General features: G+C 37.8%; 1 long non-coding RNA gene and 1 pseudogene across 1 annotated transcript in view, besides 1 other annotated feature; both read right to left on the reverse strand.

The window, feature by feature from the left end:
* Positions 1–960: 960 nt before the first annotated feature.
* Positions 961–20432, reverse strand: part of LINC01994 (long intergenic non-protein coding RNA 1994) — a 39393-nt gene continuing 19921 nt past the window's right edge. Inside the window, exons 3-4 of the long non-coding RNA NR_040105.1 lie at positions 2719–2830; positions 961–2405 (exon numbers count right to left, since the gene is read on the reverse strand). This is a non-coding gene — a long non-coding RNA (long intergenic non-protein coding RNA 1994). The remainder of the gene's footprint in view (positions 2406–2718; positions 2831–20432) is intronic.
* Positions 7838–8038: a silencer, noted in NCBI's record as "peak4954 fragment used in MPRA reporter construct". NCBI's record gives its function as "represses an SCP1 promoter by STARR-seq MPRAs in K562 erythroleukemia cells {active_cell/tissue: K562}" and the evidence as "EXISTENCE:reporter gene assay evidence [ECO:0000049][PMID:32103011]".
* Positions 14211–15046, reverse strand: EIF4EP3 (eukaryotic translation initiation factor 4E pseudogene 3; annotated as a pseudogene).

Raw genomic sequence — 20432 nt, forward strand, 5'->3', positions numbered from 1 at the left:
TTTTATAAATTGAAAGTTTGTGGCAACCCTGCATCGAGCAAATATATTGGCACCGTTTTTCCAAGAGTATGTACTCACTTCGTGTCTGTGTCACTTTTCATAATTCTTGCAATATTTCAGATGTTTTCATTATCATATCTAGTATGTGGATCTGTTATCAGTGATCTCTGATGTTACTACTGTAGTTGTTTTGGAGTGCCACGAACCATGCTTGTATAAGACAGTGAACTTAATAGGTAAATATTGTATGCATTCTGACAGCTCCACCGACTAATGGTTCCCCCATCTGTCCCTTTTCTTGGCCCTCCTGATTCCCTGAGATAACAACAAAATTGAAATTAGGCCAATGTCCTCTATGTCTTCATGTGAAGGAAGAGTTGCACATCTCTCACTTTAAATCAAAAACTGTGAGGTAGACATGTCAAAAGCTGAGAGAGGTTGAAAGCTAGGCCACAAGCAAAAGATGATGATTCACTGAAGGCTCAGATAATCGTGAGCTTTTTTTTTTTTTTAAGCAATAAGGTCTTTTTAAATTAAGGTATGTACTTTTTTTAGACATAATGCTATTGCACACTTAATAGACTATAATACAATGTAAACGTAACTTTTAAATGCACTGAGAAACCAAAAAAATGTGTGTAACTGACTTTTCTATGGTATTTGTTCTATTGCAACAGTCTGGAACTAAACCCGCAATATCTCCAACGTATGGCTCTACTCTTTTGTGCATGTTTTGGGCCATATTTTCTACAGATTATTTCTCCCATAATTTTATCCTATATAGTCATTTTGTTTGGTGGGTTGATTTTTTGTTGTTGTTTGTTTTAATATTGAGGAATCCTCAAGATTTGTGTCTGCTATTATCACTTTCTTGATCATAAAAATAAGTAAGCATACTTACTGACGTTTCAGTTTGAAATACTGTTTCTCTCATTTTGTGGCTTTTTTTTTTTTTTTTTTGGCAACAAGAGAAATGTGTGCTCAGGATACAACCTTAATAAAACCTCCCCAAATTGTCTTGAAAACCCAAAAGGTGGGAACACTACCTACCTTTCCAACTGTACGGCTTTGCCCGTTCTAGGCTTCTTGAGGTCAGAGTTGATAATATCTACAAACTTGGGACTTACTTAACATGGCGTCTGGCTCATAAGAGAAATTCAATAAATGTTTATTGCATGATGAAAGGAAGGAAAGAAGGAAGGAAGAAAAGAAGAAAGGAATTTTAAGAATTATTTCTATTAGAGTCAACTCAACATGTTTTTATTGAGTATATTACTACATGCCAGGCCCCTCTAGGCACAAGTGTTATAAATCTGAATAAAACACTTTTCTTGCCCTCCTAAAGCATGTGTGTATAAGCAGGGGAGATTAGAAGCATACTTCCTAAAGTCTAAGGTTAATATCCTCAGAAAAAAAAAACTGATATAAATATATTGTAACTAAATCAGGCTCTAGAGGAGAACAGAGAAGGTAAATACTTGGTAATTTGGACAAATAGAGAAGCTATTTCTAGGTGACTAAAACTAGAGGTGGAGGAGGGAGAGAACAGAGGTCTAAACCATATGTTTTATTACAGGCACAGGAAAGGTTTTGCAGATGTATCGCCAATCTTTCCATATACTCTCAGTCATAAAAAGGAGCAATAACGGCATATTTTTAAAAGAGTTTAAAAGTAAAGTTTCTTGGAAATACAGATGACAGATAAACTATAGCAGGCAAGAATTATTTCAAATATTAAAATAATCTTCTGAACTTTGTTAATTTTAAAGTAAATTTTACTTTGAAACACATTAGGCTCGTGCTTTTAGGAAAATGGTTTAAAATTAGCAAGCAAGAGGTTTGCTTTTCTGGTGGGTGCTCCATTCTGAAAAACTTAATAGCTCACTTCTGTTCTCCACCATGAATAAATTCTCTAGCGTGAACAGTTCTCACTGGCTTAGACTGACACAAGAGCAGGGGCAGGATCCCTGCAACCAGGATACTGGGAAGCGATGGGAGGGGTGGACGATAAAAGGAAAGCAGACAGCAGGGAGGCCAAGAGAAGAGAGATTCTTGTGCACCCATCTGAGGTTGATCTGAGGATCCAAAAGGTGACAATGCACTGAACTCTAAAAGTATGTTTTCCAACATCCTCCAAATGTTGCCTTCTCATACTCTATGGCATGTGAGATTGGGTTCTTTCTGATAAATAAGCCTACCTGCATGCACAGACAGATCCTGTAAAGCACAGCAGTGGGGCGGCATACAGAGCTGTCCGGCACATGGCCATCTTTTTGCAGGATGGCGTGAGATGAGAACAGAGAGGAACTGTAGGCAGGGAGTGGTCTAGAAAACCAGCAGTGGGGACAAACACCCTGAAGAGTGTCATTAAGTTGCTTGGCTTCTTTCTGCTTCAGCTTCCTCATCTACAAAATGGGGGTAATAATGGTAATTAGCTCTTACGATTGCGGAGAGGATTAAACAAAATCACATACTTAAAACTCTCAGCATAGTTCTTGGCACACAATGAATATTTGATAGTGTACTCTTTTTGTTATGATTAATTTCTTCACACCACCTAGCTGCAATACCTTAAACAGGCCATTCTTAAAGCCGCAATCTGATGATCCCCAAAGGTTCTGAAACCTTCTCAGGGGGTCCACGAGGTCAAAACAATTTTTGTATAGATATTATTTTCAAAATAATAATATTTTCATAATGATAAAAAATATGACTTGCCTTTTTATTCTCATTCTGGCATGAAGGCACAGTGAAGTTTTCCAGAGGCTGCATGGTATATAATGCCACAGGAGATTGAATACAGGGGCAGATATGAGAATCTAGCTTCTTTCTGTGAAGTCAGGCATTAAAGAGATTTGCAAAAATGTAGAACAATGTAACCCTTCTGACTAAATGTTTTTGTTTTAGAAAAGTATAGTTACTTTTCTACAAAAATATGTTACACGCACTGCTAGGGAAGCTGAGGCAGGAAAACCGCTTGAACCCAGAAGGTGGAGGTTGCAGTGAGCTGAGATTGTGGCACTGCACTCCAGACTGGGCGACAGAGCGAGACACTTTCTCAAAAAATATAAAATGAAATAAAATAAAAAATTTTACATGCAATTAGTTTATTATTATTTTTAATGAATTAGTAAACAAACATTTTATAAATTTCTTAGTTTAAATTTCTAATACAGTAAATATAAATATGTGGAACCTACATAAATAAAACCTCTTTGGAATCCTTAATAATTTTTACTGGTGTAAAAGGGTCCTGAGACCAAAAATTTTCAGAACTTCTACCTTAAATCACACAGGTAATCATTAGTATAATTCCTTTTTTCTCTATTTTTATTGATTTTGAAACTTTATTATTTACAAAGGCGATGGGAAGATTTAGAGTATAAAAATAAGTGAAAAGAAAGATTAAACATCCTATAATCAAACCACTCAGTGACAGTCATTATCAATATGTTGGCCTGTATACTTCTGGTGTTTAATTCATGAATATGTCATGCACATATAACTAAAATGGAATAACATGGTACATAATGTTTTGGGACTTTTTTATTCAAAATATATCATAAAATCAACCTATGTCATTAGCTGTTCTCCTGCAATATCCTTTATAATGACTGTATTATTTATTTAATTAAGCTCCTATTTTGGGCCATTTATGTTGCTCATTTTTTTCACGTTATACAGAATGTTACAGTGAACATCCTTTATATGCATACTTAAAAATTTCTTAGCATAAATTCCTAGAAATAGAATTTTTGCATCAAGGATACGCTTTTTTTTTTTTTTTTTTTTTGAGACGGAGTCTCGCTCTGTCGCCAGGCTGGAGTGCAGTGGCGCCATCTCCTCTCACTGCAAGCTCCGCCTCCCGGGTTCAAGCGATTTTCCTGCCTCAGCCTCCAGAGTAGCTGGACTACAGGTGCATGCCACCATGCCCTGCAAATTTTGGTATTTTTAGTAGAGACAGGGTTTCACTATGTTGGCCAGGATGGTTTCGATCTCTTGAACTCGTGATCTGCCCACCTCGGCCTCCCAAAGTGCTGGGATTACAAGCGTGAGCCACCGGAGTCTCACTCTGTTGCCCAGGCTGGAGTGCAATGGCGCAATCTCGGCTCACTGCAAACTCCGCCTCCTGGGTTCAAGGATTCTCGTGTCTCAGCCTCCTGAGTAACTGGGATTACAAGCACGCACCACCACGCCCTGCTAATTTTTTGTATTATTTTTAGTAGAGACGGGTTTTCACCATGTTGGCCAGGCTGGTCTCCAATACCCGACCTCAGGTGATTCGCCCTCCTCGGCCTCCCAGAGTGCCGGGATTACAGGCGTGAGCCACCGTGCCTGGCCAGGATATCCATATTTTAAGGTTCCTAATATCTGTTGCCAAATCACTCTTCAGAAATGTTGTACAAGCATATATATAGGCAGTTTATAATTGACATCCTTGCATTATTTCATATCTTTGCCTATCTGACAGATTTAAAATATCTCATTTTTATGATTTATATTTCTTTGATTACTAGCATGTTTGATTATTTTTTCATATTTATCCTGGCTTTTTATAGCTTACTTTCTGTAACATACTTATTAGAATAATGCATTTTTATCGAATTGATGTAAGTTCTAAAAGTTGCTCACTTCCCTCAAGTATTATATACTGGGTCACACACTGGCTTATAAAACACCAGGGATTACATAGCTATATAATTTTTAATATCTTTATAAATATAAGTGAAATCCTATTGGGTAAATTCAGTTGCTGCAAACCCTCCTCACTGTGTTTTATCTCTACGAAAATTTGAATTTCAAAGAAACAGGTAACCATCATTTATATGATCTAAAAATTAGGAGTATGTAATGGAACTGTATAAAATTACAAAATGCTATTTAAAAGTAAGTAAAATTATTTTTTATTTTTAAAAATTATTTTTCAATATTTGAAAATACTCAACAGCAAATAAAAATAAATATTTTCAGTTAAATGTCTTTTGGTCACAAATAATTTCCCAAGCCTAGCATGATACTATCTAAATCAGGCAAAACTCCCAGGAATGTTAACTAATGAGAAAAGGAACCACGCCTGGGTGGCACATGAAAGAGAAAGACAGCTAAGGATAGGATAGTGCAGGGATAGATAGGGTTAGATAGGGCCACCTGGGGCCCTGGCAAACTGTGGTATTTACAAGTGCTGGATGGGTGTAGGCTGAAACAAAAAAGTGTCAGGTAGTGGGTGAGTCTGAAGTTGGGCTGCCTACAGCCTTATAGTCCCAGCATGCATGCCCTCTTCTCTCTCTTCCACCCCTTCCTATCCACTATCTGAGGCAAAAGTAAGAGAGACAGGACTCATGGAGAAGAAGCTGGAAAGAGCTGAGCAGAGCAATAGCCCGCAGATTAGCAGGCTGGGGCTCAGTCCCGTGAAAGGTTCCAATGGGAAGAAAAAATCCATGCTGATTGTATAGCTCAGTCCACGCAACAGAGACAAAGACTTCTACGGAGCTTGGCTCATGCCTCATACCAAGTCAACAACAGCAAGCTCCGAAGATCCACCCTGTCCTTGTCAGGAAAAGCTAAACAAATAGGTTAGACCAAGGCTGTAGCTGCAAAGAGCTGAGGAAGGAACAGGCCAACTGAATACCAGCTGCTTCTAACTGTAATACCATTAATCTCACTCTGTCCCTGAAACTTCAGGCAGAATCCTGCACACAGTGGGGCCTGCAAATATTTGATCAGTATTCTTAAGAATTTTTGTTAACTTTTCAAAACAATGATTTTGTTTACTAAATATAGTGGGGAAAATAAAAGCTTTACTCTCACTTATGTCACTGATCGTTTTATCTAAAGTGGGGCCTGCAAATATTTGATCAGTATTCATAAGAATTTTTGGTAACTCTTCAAAACAAGAATTTTTTTTTTAACCAAAAATAGTGGGGAAAAGGAAAGCTTTACTCCCATTTATGTCAATGGTCATTTCATCTGCTTAAAGTTTCCTACTGGGAATCCTAGTAAATATTTAAGCCATTCCGATCTACCTTGCCAGTTGGTACTTAGGGAGAATTAAGCAGCGGATTACAAGAATGGTTTCTTCAGAAGCTTTGAAGTCTACTGTTTTAGGCTTTACAATCACAGGAATGTCTCATCCACTTCCCCTTCTCCTTTCTTTTTTAATCTTTTGTTTTAAAAAAAAAAAAACTAGCTATAAACACACCAACCTATGTTGCTATAATGATTTTCTTAGTGAACACTGTAGTTAAGGTTACATGCAGACTTTTATTATAATCCCTCATCTTCACTAGTTCCCAAGTTTTTGAACACATTCCTTTAACCTAAAACTTTCCAGTCTTTGTTCCTCTTTCAGATAAGCTTTAAACTCAGTCTGTTCAGCTACTTCTGAGAAGGGAGCAAACAAGAGTATAATGTTTTGCCCGTGGGTATTGGAAAGCCTAATTTACAAAAATTGACGTATTCAGCAGGGCCACTCATTACTTGGGAAAGATGTCATCATCCAGGGAATTATCAAAGAATCAAAAGAACAGGAGAGAACAGTCAAATGATGTGTAAAAGGCCAACCAATTTGACTCCTACTCAGATATCACAATTCAAAATACCTGAAAACCAGCCTATTGATAAGTGGATATTCCATATATCAGAATTTTCTACTCTAAGAATGAATATCATTAACTTGAGTTCTTTTAATGCGCTTGAGAGTAGTTTTTGTGCAGAGCTACTACTATTCAGTGGTTTACTTTGGTTTAAAAATTAATCCTCAATTCACTATGCTTACAAAATCAAAACTTCCTTAACATTTTAAATTTACCACATAAAACTTATAAGCTTAATATATTTTAGCAAACATTTTAAGGGCCTTAAATTAATATTTTGTCCTATCTACAGAATTGATTAAATACCTTAAAATATTCTTAATTGTATTTACTAATTCAATATATCCAATTTTCCTTTAATTATAGCTTTTTGATTCAATAAACCTTTCCAAAATGTTTAAATAAATCATACAAATATGATAAATAAATTTAACTTAAATATCTCAAATCTAAGCCAATTACTTAATTCCACATTTAAAAGTTGAATCATAAATCTGACATTTACTCTAAGAAGCCAAATTTTCTTAAACAAACTATAAATGCTTAAATTAATAACCAGCACAGATTTTTTATGCAAAAATGTCAATACTATGGGTTTGGATTTTATAAACACTGTGTATTTAATTCTGTATTGAGGGGAGTTAAAAGTTGTTTACCCACAAATAAGTAATTATGTCATTCCAAGGAAATTTTAGGATTACTTCTCAGTTCTTCAAAACCCTTGTCTGCTTCCATTATGCTAATAATTCTTTTCTGAGTTATTTTCTTCATTTCTTCCTTTTTTTCTGAGTTATAGTACCTGCCTACTGCTACCCAAAATCCACAATTACCATTAATATCTTAATGCAAAGCAATTTAGCCATTCTGGCTAATTTTCGCCTAATTGGACATAAGAAGATCTTCTTTTTCATCTCAAAACTTCTACCAACTTTTGTAATGTAATAAGCCTTAAAAAAAAAATCGGGTGGTCTTTGAGACATCTGGTGCCTTAACTAATGCTCCTGCTCTAGAATGTGGAAGCAGAGTAAGATATCTCATTCTAAATAGCATTTACCTTCCTTCCAGGTTAATTAAGTGTTAGGCCTCCTAAGAACAAAGATTATAATTTTTACTCCTTACAGACAGGGTCTCGCTATATTTTCCAGGCTGGAGTGCAGTAGCTACTCACAGGTACAATCATAGCATGCTGCAGCCCTGAACTCCTGGCCTCAAGTGATTCTCCCACCTCAGACTCCTGCGTAGCTGGGATTACAGGCACATGCTACCACACCTGACTTTACTCTCTTTTCAACTCCACACATACAATGTTCTTCTAACAGTCTTTCTGTTGATTCATGGGGGCCCAGAAATCATGCTGCTGTCCTACATAGCGGTATATTTTGAGAGGATGTGCAGAAAATTAAAGTTAAATACAAAGTTTTTGCTACTCATTCCATTGAGAAGTGGAGTCTATTTCCCCTCCCCTTGCATCTGGGCTGACCTTAGTCACTTATTTGACCAACAGAGTAGAGTAGAGGGAAAGTTAGGCCAGCTTCAGGGCTAGGCTTTAAGAGGATTGGTAGCTTCTGCCTTGCTCCCTTGGAGCCCTGTGACATTGTGATATAATAAGACATACATATTTGGTCTCTGACCCCAGTCACTCTGGCACAATCTTCTAAACCCTTGTACTTTCCTGAGTAATTGGGGTGCTAAGGGAAGCACTTGTTCTAATATTTGTTCTTTGACCCCAGTTCCTGACACAGAGCTTCTAATCTCTTGGAATTTTGTGGGTGCTAGGAGCATTTTTTTTGTGTGGTGCCTCTTGGTGGGCTTCTGAATGTGTGCTAACCCATGGTTAATGGGTACTAACCCATGATTAGAAGCTTGAACTTTCAGCCCCACACCTCATTATCTAGGATGGGGAGAGGGGCTGAAGATTGAGTTAACAGTCACTTATGCCTACATGATGTAGCTTCCATAAAAATCCCAGAACTTTAGCACTCAGAGAGCTTCCAGGAGGCTGAACATATGGAGGTCCTGGGAGGAAGGTGCACTCAGAGAGTGCATGGAAGTTCCTCATCCCTCTCTAATACCTTGCCTTGTGCATTTCTTTCATCTGCCTGTTCATCTGTATCTTTTGGTGTATTCTTTATAACAAATCAGTAAATGTAAGTAAACCACTTTCCTGAATTCTGTGAGTCACTCTAGCAAATGTTCAAACCCAAGAAGGGGGTTTGTGGAAAACTCCAGTTTGCAATCATGGCAGACAGAAGTTGTGGGTAACCTGTGAACCTACTACTTATGATTGGCATCTGAAGTAGGGGGCAGTCTTGTGAGACCTAATGTTATCTCCAGGTAGATAGTTTCAAAATTGAGTTGAGTCCTAGGACACTCTGTTGGTGTCCACTGGATAATCGCTTGGTTTAGGAAAACTCCCACATTTTGGTGACCAGAAATATTCTGTGTTGATAGTATAACAGGAGAAAACAGTTGGGAGTTTTCCTATTATATATCACCACAAACAAAAAGCCTGACTTCCCTGAGGCTGCTATAAACTGAGGAAGCTCAAGGCATGTGAAGAGGTGACACATGGGTGCTCTGCCCAACAGTCACCCTCACTACTAGACATTTGAATGAATCATCTTGTACGTACAGCTCAGTCAATACGTCAGAGGACTCTAGTTGATCTCTGACTGTAACTACATGAAAGACCCCAAGCAAGAACCGTCCAGCTGAGCACAGTCAACCCACAGATACATGAGAGATAACAATTTAATGTTTTTGTGAGCCATTACACTGTGGAGTGGTTTTACTAGGAAGCAATACTTAATTGGCATAATAGATAATCATGACTATGGTTTGGGGGTTTTAAAAATTTATTTTTAATTGATAGATAATAATTGTACACATTTATGGAGTACATGTAATAATTCAATATATGTATACAACGTTTAGTGATCAAATCAGAATAATAAAGATATCCATTACTTCAAACATTTACCATTTCTTTGTGTTGAGAACGTTCAAATTTCTCTCTTCTAGCTATTTTGAAATACACAACAAATTGTTGTTAACTATGGTCACCCCACTATGCTATATATATAACACTAGAACTTATTTCTCCCATCTAACTGTAATTTTGTACCTCTTAACAAACTTCTCCTTATTCCTCCTCCCTTCCCAGCCTCTAGTAACTATTATTCCAGTCTCTACATCTATAAGATCAATTTTTTTTTAGCTCCCACATATAAGTGAGCAAATGTGGTATTTTCCTTTCTCTGTCTGGCTTTTTTCACTTAACATAATATCCTCCAGGTTCATCTAGGTTGCCACAACTGCAGATGACAGAATTTCATTCTTTTTTATGGCTAAATCATATTCCATTGCATATATATATATATGTATACCACCTTTTCTTTATCAATTTATTTGTTGATAGACACTTACATTGATTCCATATCTTAGCTGGGATATAGTACTGCAATAAACTTAGGAGTGTAGCTATCTCCTCTATCTCTTCAATATACTGATTTCCTATGATTTGGATATATATACCCAGTAGTGGGATTACTGAATTATATGGCACTTCTATTTTTAGTTTTTTTTGAGGAATTTCCTCACTGTTTTTGTAATGGCTGTACTAATTTACATTCCATCAATCAGTGTATAAGAGTTTCCCTTTCTTTTCATCCTCACCAGCATTTGTTATTTTCTGTCTTTTTGATAATAGCCATTTTAACTGGAATGAGATAATGGATTATTGTGGTTTTGATATGCATTTCTCTGATGGTCAGTGATGTCAAGCATTTTTTCTTGTACCTGTTGGCCACTTGTATGTCTCCTTTTGATAAATGTCTATTCAGATTACATGCAAATTTTTAATAGGATTATTTGGATTGTTTGCTGTTGGTTGTTAAGTTTCTTACATAGTTTAAATATTAATCCTTTGTCAGATGGATAGTTTGCAAATATTTTCTCCTATTCCGTATATTGGCTCTTCACCCTGTTGTTTCCTTTGCTGAGCAGAAGCTTTTTAGCTTGATGTAATCTTATTTGTCTATTTTTGCTTTTGTGGGCTTTATGGTCTTACTCAAAAAATATTTGCCCAGACCTATGTTCTGAAGCATTTCCCCAATGTTCTCTTCTAATAGTTCCATAGTTTCAGGCCTTACATGTAAGTCTTTAATCAATTCTAGTCTAATTTTGCATATGGTGAAAGACAGGGATCTAGTTTTGTGCTACAGTAGCATATCGATATCCAGTTTTCCCAGCATTATTTATTGAAGAGACCATCCTTCCCACAGTGAGTGATTTTGGCACCTTTGTCAAAAATCAGTTGGCTGTCAATGCATAGATTTATTTCTGATCCTCTATTCTGTTCCACTGGTGTATGTGTCTGTTTTTATTCTAGTACTATGCAATTTTGGTTACTATAATTTCATAACATATTTTGAAGTCAGGTAGTGTGCTATCTCCAGCTTTGTTCTTTTTGCTCAGAATAGCTTTGGCTATTCAGGGTCTTTTGTGGTTCCTTACAAATTTTAGAATTGTTTTCTGTAAAGAATGTCATTGGAATTTTGATAGGGGTTGCACTGAATCTGTACAGTAAAGGCATTTTAACAATATTAATTGTTCTGACCCATAAACATGAAATATCTTTCCATTTTTTGTATGTCATCTTTAATTTTTAATAAGTGTTTTATAGTTTTTATTGTAGAGATCTTTCATCTCTTCAGTTAAATTTATTCCTAGAAATTTTGTTTGTTTGGTAGCTATTGTAAATGGAATTGCTTTCCTGATTTCTTTTTCAGATTGTTTGCCATTGCTGTATCGAAATGCTGTTGATTTTTGCATCCTGATTTTGTATCTTGAAACTTTACTGAATTTGTTTATTGGTTGTAAGAGTTTTTGGTGAATTTTAGGCTTTTCTAAATATTAAATTATGGCATTTGCAAACAAGACAATTTGACTTCCTCCTTTCCAATTTGGATGTCCTTTATTTCTTGCTCATGCCTAACTGCTCTGGCTAGGATTTCTAGCACCATGTTGAATAAAAGTGGTAAAAGTGGGCATTCTTGTCTTGTTCCAGATCTTAGAGAAAAGGCTTTTTTTCCCATTCAGTATGATGTTATCTGTGGATTTATTATATATGGTATGCATTGTTTTGAGATATGTTCCTTCCATAACTAATTTGAGACTTTTTATTGTGACACAATAATAAATTTTATCAAATTCTTTTTTTGCATCTGTTGAGATTATCGTATAGCTTTTGTCCTTCATTCTGTTGAAGTGATGTATCACATCTATTGATTTGCGTAGGTTAAACCAGCCTTGCATCCTTGGGGTAAAACCCCCTTGATCATCATGGGTAATCTTTTTCAAGTGCTGTTGGATTTGGTTTGCTAGTATTCTGCTAAGTATTTTTGCATCTGTGTTCACCAGAGACATTGGCCTATAGGTTTTTTGTTGTTGTTGTTTGTTTTTTTGTGGTTGTTGTGTCCTTGCCTAGTTTTTAACATTGGCCTCCCAGAATAAGTTTTGAAGAATTCCCTCTCTTTCAATGTTTTGGAATAACTTGAGAAGAATTGGAATTAGTTTTCTTTTTTTTTTTTTTTTTTTTTTTTTGAGATGGAGTCTCACTCTGTCGCCCAGGCCGGACTGCGGACTGCAGTGGCGCAATCTCGGCTCACTGCAAGCTCCGCTTCCCGGGTTCACGCCATTCTCCTGCCTCAGCCTCCCGAGTAGCTGGGACTACAGGCGCCCGCCACCGCGCCCGGCTAATTTTTTGTATTTTTAGTAGAGACGGGGTTTCACCTTGTTAGCCAGGATGGTCTCGATCTCCTGACCTCATGATCCACCCGCCTTGGCCTCCCAAAGTGCTGGGATTACAGGCGTGAGCCACCGCGCCCGGCCCTGGAATTGGTTTTCTAAAAGTTTGGTAGAATTTAGCAGTGAAGCCGTTTAGTCCTGGACTTCTCTTTGTTAAGAGATGTTTTGTTACCGATTGAATCTTGTTACTTGTTATTGATCTGTTCAATTTTTTTATTTCTTCATGATTCTAACTTGGTAGGTTGTATGTGTCCAGAAAGTGATTCGTTTCTTCTAGGTTTTCCAACTTGTTGCCATATAGTTGTTTGTAATAGTCTCTAATTATCCTTAATATTTCTGTGGCATCAGTTGTAATGTCTCTTTTTTCATCTCTGATTTTATTCATATGAATCTTCTCTATTATTCTCACTTTCTAACTAAAGGTTTGTTGATTTTGCTTATCTTTTCAAAAAACAACTGTTCAGTTCACTGATCTTTTGTATTTTTATCTCAATTTCATTTACTTCTGCTCTGATCTTTATGTTCCTTTTCTTCTAATAATTTTTCATTTGGTTTGTTTTTGCTTTTCCATTCTCAAGGAAATGGAAATCATTAGGTTGTTTATTTGAAATATTTCTATTTTTATGTATTTGTTTATTGCTATAAACTTCCCTCTTAGTACTACTTTTGCTGTATCCCATAGGTTTTTGTATGTTGTTTCCATTTTCATTTGTTTCAAAAATTTTTTTAATTTCTTTATTAATTTTTTGATGGACCCATTGGTCATTTCCAAGCATGTTGTTTAATTTCCATGTATTTGTATAGTTTCCAAAATTCCTTTTGTTATTGATGTTTAGTTTTGCTCTATTGTGATCAGAAAATATAATTGTTATTATTTGCATTTTTTTTAAATTTTCTAAGCCTTATTTTGTGGCATAACAATGTTCCATGTGCTGATGAGAAAATGCATATTCTGCAGCTGTTGGATGAAATAATCTGTAAATGTCAGGGCCATTTGGTCTGGAGTGTAGTTTCACTCTAATGTTATATTTTTATTTTCTGTCTGAATGATATGTTGTTTGCTGTAAGTGAGGTGGTGAAACTCCCTACTATTATTGTATTGCCAGTCTATCTCTTCCTTTAGATCTATTAATATTTGCTCTAAATATTTAGGTGTTCAGTGTTGGATGCATAGATATTTACAATTGTTATATCACCTTGCTGAATTGATCCCTTTACCATTATATAATGACCATCTTTATCTCTTTTTACAATTTTTGACTTAAAATTCATTTTATGTAAGTATAGCTACTCTTGCTTTTTTGGAGGGGTTTTATTTGCATAGAATATATTTTTCTATCTCTGCACTTTCTTTTATTTTTTGCACAAAGCTAATGTTTATTCCACCTATGTGTCATATTCCTGGATCCTTCACCAATGTTACATGAGGAAAAGAACAAAAGCAAAACAAATGAAAAACTGAAATCAGAATCACTAATGTTATCAAGTAGAAAAACAAATAAATTATAATCTAGTAGCCATCAGCAAGAGTATAGCAAAGACAATGCTGTAAAAAGAAACAAAGAAAATTGCTAGAAACTATATGCATCATAATCTTTCAAACCAGCAAAATATGTGCCTGCATACAATAGAACACTAACCGTATTTTTTGTGTGTGTAAAGTATAAAAATGCCAAGTTGTTTTCTGAATATTGTGGATAGGTAAAATGTATATGTAATTAACGGTAATTCTACTGAACTATTACAGAGTGGGACAGGAACACATTCATGGATTCTGGGGATGAGTACTGTAATTCTTTGTTTGGGATAGTGGACACGCTAGCCAAAAAAAAGAACACCAAAGTACAAGACAAAGGCGAATGAGACTTCTCTTATATCTTAGCAACATTTAGATGGAAATCAAATTTAAATGCAGTCCACTCTGCTTTTGGAAGAGGCTTTGGTTCAGCTCCCAAATCTCGACTGCTTGATGCAGTCTCCTATGAGAATACTCAGAAGGTGTCTACTTAAACAACAAACCTATTTTCAGTGGTGGAGCCATTCTTAGTAGCTATGTCTGCGTGGGACTGATAACCAATCACTATCTTTCGAGGAAGTCCTAACCTTTTCTTGTATACCCTCCCCATATGTGTAACAGCTTCTCTGTTTTCACATTCAGTAGTCCATATTGCTATCTTATCACCTTTAGCTCTAACATTAATAACAGCACCACATACATCATTGCTGTAGTCATCAAAAGATTCTGCAATAAGGCACAGCAGTGTCTCTAGCCAAAAGCAATCGAGGTCACTTCATCTCTGCTATTTGTTCAATGTAATTAGCCATCGTCCTCCCAGTTTGTTTTTCTCATCTTCCCACATAGGCTCAATACCAGCCTTAAAAAGTCAGTAGTCACAGCCAGGCATTAAATTACTAGGCAACTGGATATGGTTGTACAGAGCCCAAAAGTCTTCAAACAGTATCAAACTTAGAGATCAGCCACAGGTTTGCTTGCCAAGTTTTTGCTTTTACCATTTTTAAAAAACCAGAGGGCCCATCTGTTCTGTAAAGGATGTTTAATATAGTGTTCTGGGTTAGCAACCTCCTGAATAGATTCTGTTTTCTCCTTTTCTGTAGTCACAGGATTAGAAGTAGGGGTGGTTTCCTGTTCGACAGTCGCCATTTTTGATGGATTTCTCTCTTCATTTTCAATCTATGTGTGTCCTTACAGGTAAGGTAGAGCCTCTTGTAGGCAGTATATATTTGGGTGTTTTTTGTTGTTGTTGTTGTTGTTTAATCCATTCAATTACTCTACACTTTTTTTTTTTTTTTGAGACAGAGCCACACTCTGTCACCCAGGCTGGAATGCAGTGGCACCATCTCAGCTCACTGCAACCTCCACCTCCAGGGTTCAAGCAATTCTGCTGCCTCAGCCTCCCAAGTAGCTGAGACTACAGGAACCCACCACCACGCCCAGCTAATTTTTGTATTTTTAGTAGAGATGGGGTTTCACCATGTTGGCCAGGCTTGTCTCAAACTCCTGGCCTCAAGTGATATGCCTCCCTTGGCCTCCCAAGCCACTGGGATTACAGGCGTTAGCCACCATGCCCAACCTCCATTCAATTACTCTACACTTTTAACTGGAGGATTTAATCCATTTACATTCAAGGTTATTATTGATAGGTATGAACTTATTCTTCTCAATTTGTTAATTGTTTCCTAGTTGTTTGTAAATCTTTTGTTCACTTCTCTCTCTCTTGCTTTCTTCCTTGTGGTTTGATGGCTTTCTGTAGTGGTATCCTTTGGTTCTTTTCTTTTTATCTTTTGTGTATCTATTATAAGCTTTTGCTTTGTGGTTTCCCTGAGGCTTATATAAAACCTCTTATAACAGATTTATTTTTGCTTAGAACACTTGATTGTTATTGTATACACGAACTCGTCACTTCTACTTCCCTTCTTCCCACGTTTTATGTTTTTGATTTCACACTATACATCTTTTTATAATATATTCCATAGGTAATTATAGTAGCCTTTTAAAAATAATGTTGTTTTTTGACCTTTATAGTACAGATATAATCAATTTACCCACCACCATTATAGTATTAAACTGTTTTGCATTTGACAACATACTTACTTTTACCAGTGAGTTTTATGCTTTCATATGACTTTATGATACTAATTAGCATCCTTGTCCTTCAGCTTAAAGAACTTCCTTTAGCATTTTTTTGTAATGCAGATCTGGTGTAATAAATTCTCTCAGATTTTGTCTGAGAAAGTTTTTATCACTCTTTTGTTTTTGAAAGACAAGATTGCCTGAATATAGTATTCTTAACTGGCAGTCTTTTTCTTTTAGGATTTTGAATATGTTATTCCATTCCATTCTGGTTTGCAAGGTTTGTGCTGAGAAGCCCACTGATAGATTTATAGAGGTTCCTCTGTATGTCACAATTTGCTTTTATTCTTGCTGCTTTCAACACTTTCTCTTTGGCTTTAACTGTTGACAGTTTGACTGTGATATGTCATGGTGTGGATCTCTTTGTGTTTATCTTATTTAGTATCCTTACAGGGTTTTTAAAGCTATCTTTCTAATTTATTTTTTAGACTTAGGAAGTTTTCTGCCATTATTTCTTTGAATATGTTTTCCATTCCTTTTTCTCTTTCTTCTACTGCTGGCACACTGCTGCATAAGTTGTTCTTCTTGATGGCGTTTGATAAGTCTCTTTAAGCTGTCCTCACTCTTTTTCATGTTTTTCTTTTTGCTCCTCAGATTGGATGATGTCCAGTAATCTGTTTTCAAGTTCACCAATCCTTTCTTCTGCTTAACCTAGTCTACTACTACCATCAAACACCTCCATTGAATTTCTCAGTTCAGTTATAGCATTCTTCAGATCTTTAATTTCTGTTTAGCACTTTTTTATACTTTCTCTTTGTTGAAGATCTTTGTTTGTTCTTGCATTGCTGTCTTGATCTCTGTGAGCATCTTTATGATCATTATTTTGAATTTCCTGTCAGGTAAATCACAAAACTCCACTACATTTGGGTCAGTTTTTTGAAAATTTATCTTGTTCTATTGTTTGGAATATATTCCCCTATTTCTTCATTTTACTTAATTCTCTGTGTTGGTTTCTGTACATTATATAAGACACCTACCTCTCCATCTTGTTAGACTAAGCTTGTATGGAGAAGGTTTTCACCAGTTAATCCAGCCCATCACAGGCCCAGAGACCTAGGAGGAAAAAGTGGTTTCTTGAGCTAGGCCCAGGGTCCCCATGCTGTGTGCAGCCTAGGGACTTGGTGCCTTGCATCCCAGCCGCTCCACTCATGGCTGAAAGGGGCCAACATAGAGCTTGGGCCATGGCTTCAGAGGGTGCAAGCCCCAATCCCTGGCAGCTTCTACATGGTGTTGAGCCTGCAAGTGTACAGAAGTTAAGAATTGGGGCTTGGGAACCTCTGCTTAGGTTTCAGAATATGTATGGAAACGCCTGGATGCCCAGGCAGAAGTTTGCTGCAGGGGCAGAGCTCTCATGGAGAAACTCTGCTAGGGCAGTGCAGAAGGGAAGCCCTACACAGAGTCCCTACTGAGGCACTGCCTAGAGGAGCTGTGAGAAGAGGACCACGTCCTCCAGACCCCAGCTTGCACCGTGTACCTGGAAAAGCCACAGACACTCAATGCCAGCCTATTAAGGCAATTGGGAGAGAGGTGCAAAGCCACAGGGGCAGAGTGCCCAAGACCATGGGAACCCACCTCTTGCATCAGCATGACCTGGATGTAAGACATGGAGTCAAAGGATATTATTTTGGAACTTTAAGATTTGACTGGCCTGCTGGATTTTGGACTTTCATGGGGCCTGTAGCCATTTTGCTTTGGCCAGTTTCTCCCATTTGGAATGGCTGTATTTGCCCGATGCCTGTACCTGTACCCCCATTGTATCTAGGAAGTAACTAACTTGCTTTTGATTCTACAGGCTTGTAGGTAGCAGGGACTTGCCTTGTCTCAGATGAGACTTTGGACTGTGGACTTTTGAGTTAATGCTGAAATGAGTTAAGACTTTGGAGAACTGTTAGGAAGGCATGATTGGTTTTGAAATGTGAGGACATGAGATTTGGGAGGGGTCAGGGGTGGAATGATATGGTTTGGCTGTGTCCCCACCCAAATCTCATCTTGAATTTCCACATGTTGTGGGAAGGATCCAGTGGGAGGTAATTGAATCATTGGGGCAGGTCTTTCCTGTGCTGTTCTCATGATAGTGAATAAGTCTCACAAGATCTGATGGTTATATAAAAATGAGAGTTTCCTTGAACGAGCCCTCTTCTCTTGTCTGCCACCATGTGAGATATGCCTTTTACCTTCCACCATGATTGTGAGACCTCCCCAGCCACATGAAACTGTAAGCCCAATAAACCTCTTTTTTTTTGTAAATTGCCCAGTTCAGGGTATGCCTTTATCAGCAATGTGAAAATGGACTAATACAGTCCCCTAAAACTTAGGATGTACCATGTCTTGTCAGTATCCCAAGACCAGTTTGAGGGATGCCAGACTCTTTAGATGTAGCTGGAAAGCTTGGGGGAGTGGGTGTGAGTTCCAAATCTTTCTGTCTCACAGTGAGGCTTGGTTCAGGTGTCTATATCCCACTCTCTCTGGACTAGTCCAGGAGAAGATCTGTGGCAAATGCCTGGATTCATGTTCAGGCTGCACCTTCTGATCCTGGAGAGATAGCTTCTGGGAGTAGGCCCGTTATACATCCACCTGTTTGTTTTCTATGGCCTTGGGTTACTCCAAATAGCAAAGTCCTCTGAACTTCCAGAGGAAGGTTGTTAAGGAAACAGTCCCTTGGGTAGGAGCTATGGAAGTTGTGACACATGGTGCATGGCCAAACTCCTCCCAGAAAGACTGGATGGGCCTGAATTTATCTCTGTGGCAAGCCAGGGAGATAAGTGCCAAGCTCTGGCTTCAGCTAATGGAGGGCTACTGTTTGCTTGCCTCACGGGCTCCCTGATGCAAGTTTATTAGAGTCCAAGCTGTCAAGTAGCCACTGAGTGTGGGTGTGGTAAGCCTCTTATGAAGAGAAAGGGAGAGCTCCATGTGCCTGCTTCTTTCCTGCACTGCCCCAAGGGGTTATAACCCCTGGAAGTATTTGGATGCCCATTTAAAATCACCTCTTTGTTCTGGGATCAGGGAAGACTCACATATGTTTATTTCCTTCTGTTCCCAGAGCTACTAGGTTTAGGATGGAGCCCTTCAAGAGGAAGCTTTAACAATTTGGTGCTCTCAGTGTGTGTTCTAAACCCCTTCTGGTGGAGAAACAGGGAGTTTCATTTTTTTAGGCCCCTTCTCTGCACCACTCCAGAGGGATGAAGTCCCTGATGGTGCTTGCATGCATGTTTAAAGACACTATTTCTTTCTTGCTATCCAGGGAGATGTGTGTATGCTAGTCCCCTCTGCTCCAAAAGCCATGAGATTAATGATACAGTCTTTTAGGTGGATGTGGTAAAAGTTGGGGTGCTTAGTATGGGTGCAAACTCCTTCCAGACTGGTGTCTGGAATTGGCTGTCTCTTTAACTCTACAATGCAAGTTAGCTTGAAGCCAGGCCACTTGCCTGCTTGGCAGTCACTGAAAGTGTTTTGTGGTGAGAGTAGGCAATAGAGGGCTGTGGTTTTTTTTAAAGCCTCTTCTGTGCACTGATACTAGGGGATGAAATACCTGGAGGTGAATGAAAATCCATATAAGACCACCACTTTATTTCCTATAGCCTGGGGGGACACGTGTGTGTCTAATCCCTGCTGTGTATAAAACAACAGGGAAGCATGAGGTCAAGGCCCTCTGTGTGAGGTCCAGACACTCTTCTCCATGGGGAGAAACTGGGTGTTGGAGACTCCTTTTCCAATTTTATGGCATAGTGCCCAGGGTGAGGTCTATGCCCAAGTGCGCCTGGGCGTCTCCTACCTGTTTTATGTTGTTTTCTTAGTTGCTCAGTGGGTAGGAGTCTCTCAATTGGTCTCTGACTTTCTCTCAGAGGGAATGGATCCATGGATAGATGTTTATTCAGTGCATCTGTGGGTGGAGGGAGACTCAGAAGCTTCTATTTGCCATGCTGGTGGTGTCACTCTCATGACTGTAGTTTTAAACCTGAACCTTTGGCTTTACTTGAGCCAAAGCCAGTGCTCAGTTGTTGAAATATGCAACAGTCTTATAGTACATTCAGAAAAACATTTGTTTTCACATGGCCTCTGGCATGTTTCATACCTTTATTCATAGCACCCTGGTAGCTGAGGTCTCTTTCTCTCCCTTTCTTTCTTTTCTTTCTGTCATTTTAAAATCATTTTCTTTTGTTTTTATGTCTTTCTTTCTTTCTTTTTTCTTTATACTTTTTTATGTTTTCCCCTCCTTTCTGTTCTCCCCTTTCTTCTGTGTCTCCTCCTTCTGTCATTTGTTAGTATTTTCTTTTATGGAGACAATTCTAAGAAACATATTTTTAAAGTCAGCAACATTAGCTCTAGTATTAACACTATAGCTAGCATGAATTGAGAACATGCTAAATGCCAGAATTATC

This window comes from Homo sapiens, chromosome 3 (genome assembly GCF_000001405.40).
Source record: "Homo sapiens chromosome 3, GRCh38.p14 Primary Assembly".
NCBI lineage: Eukaryota > Metazoa > Chordata > Mammalia > Primates > Hominidae > Homo > Homo sapiens.